Here is a 3,221-nt window from a genome sequence, read left to right as displayed (position 1 = left end):
CCTGCTTTGCTCTGCACTTCTCCTTCCTGCCACCATGTGAAGAAGGATGTGTTTGCTTCCCCTTCTGTCATGATTGTAAGTTTCCTGAGGCTTCTCCAGCCATGCTGAACTGTGAGTCAATGAAACCTCTTCCCTTTATAAATTACCCAGTCTCTGGTATGTCTTTATTGGCAGCATGAGAAAGGACTAATAAAGTAACTTGCTACTGGTAGTAGTGGGGTGCTGCTGTAAAGATACCCATAAATGTGGAAGTGACTTTGAAACTGGGTAACAGGCAGAGGTTGGAACAGTTTGGAGGGCTCAGAAGACAGGAAGATGTAGGAAAGTTTGGAACTCCCTGGAGACTTGTTGAGTGACTTTGACCAAAATGCTGATAGTGATATGGACAATGAAGTCCAGGCTGAGGTGGTCTGAGATGGAGATGAGGAATTTCTTGGTAACTGGAGCAAAGGTGATTCTTGCTATGCTTTAGCAAAGAGACTGGCAGCATTTTGCCCCTGCCCTAGAGATCTATGGAAATTTGAACTTGAAAGAGATGATTTAGGGTATCTGGTAGAAGAAATTTCTGAGCAGCAAAGTGTTCAAGAGGTGACAAAGCATAAAAGTTTGGAAAATTTGCAGCCTGACAATGCAATAGAAAAGAAAAACCCATTTTCTGGGGATATATTCAAGCCAGCTGCAGAAATTTGCATAAGTAACAAGGAGCCAAATGTTAATCACCAAGACAATGGGGGAAAATATCTCCAGGGCATGTCAGAGACCTTCAAGACAGCCCCTCCCATTAGAGGCCTGGAATCTTAGGAAGAAAAAATGGTTTCATGGGCAGGGCCCAGGGCCTTGGGGCTTTGTGCAGTCTTGGGACTTGGGACCCTGCATCCCAGCCGTGGCTAAAAGGGGCCAAGGCACAGCTCAGGCTGCTGCTTCAGAGGTTGCAAGCTTCAAGCTTTGGCAGCTTACATGTAGTGTTGGGCCTGCAGGTACACAAAAGTCAAGAATTGAAGTTTGGGACCCTCCACCTAGATTTCAGAGGAGTATGGAAATGTCTGGATGTCTAGGCAGAAGTTTGCTGCAGGGGCAGAGCCCTCATGGAGAACCTCTGCTAGGGCAGTGCAGAAGAGAAATGTGGGGTGGGAGCCCCGACACAGTCCCCACTGAGGCACTGCTTAGTGGAGCTGTGAGAAGAGAGCCACTGTCCTCCAGACCCCAGAATGGTAGATCCACCAATAGCTTGCCCTGTGCACCTGGAAAGGCTGCAAACACTCAACATCAGCCCATGAAAGCAACAGGGAAGGGTGTTGTACCCTGCAAAGCCACAGCGGCAGAGCTGCCCAAGGCCATGGGAGCCTATCTCTTGTTTCAGTGTGACCTGGATGTGAGACATGGAGTCAAAGGAGATCACTGTGGAACTTTAAGATTTAATGACTACCCTATTGGATTTCAGACTTGCATGGGGCATGTAGCCCCTTTGTTATGGCCAATTTCTCCCATTGGGTGGGTAGACAGATGCTTGAGTTCCTGGGTCTAGCTGTAACTCCTCCTAGATGGATGGGTGTCTGACTTTGTAGCTACAGGAACCAACAAGCTCACAGTTTTGTTTGGGATGAATATATTTACCCCCATTGTATCCAGGAAGTAACTAACTGGCTTTTGATTTTACAGGCTCCTAGGCAGAAGGGACTTTCCTTGTCTCAGATGAGACTTTGGACTTGGGCTTTTGGATTAATGTCGGAATGAGTTAAGACTTTGGGGGACTGTTGGGAAGACAAAATTTTGCTTTGAAATGTGAGAAAGATGAGATTTGGTAGGGGCAAGGGGCAGAATGATATGGTCAGGCTGTATGTCCCCACCCAAATCTCATCTTCTATTGTAATCCGAGTTGTAATTTTCATGTGCTGGGGGAGGAACCTCGTGGGAGGTGATTAGATTATGGGGGTGGTTTCCCCCATGCTGTTCTCATGATAGAGTGAGTTCTCATGAGAGCTGATGATTTAATAAAGGGCTTTTCTCCACTTTGCTCTGCACTTCTCCTTCCTGCCACCATGTGAAGAAGGACGGATTTGTTTCCCCTTCTACCATGATTGTAAGTTTCCTGAGGCTTCCCCAGTGATACTGACCTGTGAGCCAATTAAACCTTTTTCCTTTATAAATTACCCAATCTCAGGTATATCTTTATTAGCAGCATGAGAACAGGCTAATACACTGGAGTAGAATGGAATAAACCCAATTCCAACTACAGTCCCTATTAGGACCATAATAATAATTCTCTTCAGTCACTTTCTCATCTGTTCTCTAATTTTTTTAAATAATTAAAGATAAGCATATTGTTTTTGTTATTGCCAAAACTAAAAAAGCATGACTACCAATAAAAATGAGAAGCCTAGATTTTATTTCATTGACCGTAATGCTCAAAGGATTATAAAAATAAGACATATTGGTATTTAAAGCATACACAATTTGAATGTATTTTCATCAAATAAATTAAATTAAAATAAATATTTAAAAGTCCCCCAATCTAAAACTTTAGTGCTTTCAAATGCGTATTTTTCTTCTAAAAATTCAAAATTTATCTTTAAAATTAAGAGGCAAAATACAAATTATAATACATGAATATCTGCTATGATCTGAATGTTTGTATCCTACCAAAATTTATGTGTTGAAATCTAATCACCAAGCTCATATTATTAGAAGGTAGGGACTTTGGGAGGTGATTAGGTCATGAGGGCTCTCACAGTGAGATTTGTGACCTTATAAAAGAGGTGTGGGAAGCTTCTGAGCCCCTTTTGCCCTTCTACCATGTTAGAACCCATAGAAGGCACCATCTGTGAAGAAACAGGCCCTCAGCAGACACTGAGTCAGCTGGTATCTTGGCCTTGGACTTCCCAGTCTCCAGAACTATGAGCAATAAACTTCTATTGTTTATAAATTAAACATTCTAAGGTATTCTGTTATAGCAGCCTGAAATGGACAATGTCAAATATTTAAATAAAAATTATTTAAATGAAATCATTTTAGGAAAATAACACCCTTCACAATTCTACTGTTCAACGTCCATCTAGTTGCCAATAAAGAAAAAAGCATCACAATTCATGCATGTTATACAATGACCTCCATAAAAAAATTTTTCAAGTAACATGAGTTACTTAATATTGCAAAATGGTCCCCAGTTGCCACGCACATCTGTGTACTTTGCCAATCTGTGAGCACCCCCAGATCCAAAACCA

This window comes from Homo sapiens, chromosome 7 (assembly GCF_000001405.40).
Source record: "Homo sapiens chromosome 7, GRCh38.p14 Primary Assembly".
In the NCBI taxonomy this organism is placed as follows: domain Eukaryota; kingdom Metazoa; phylum Chordata; class Mammalia; order Primates; family Hominidae; genus Homo; species Homo sapiens.
This window is presented reverse-complemented; position numbering follows the sequence as displayed.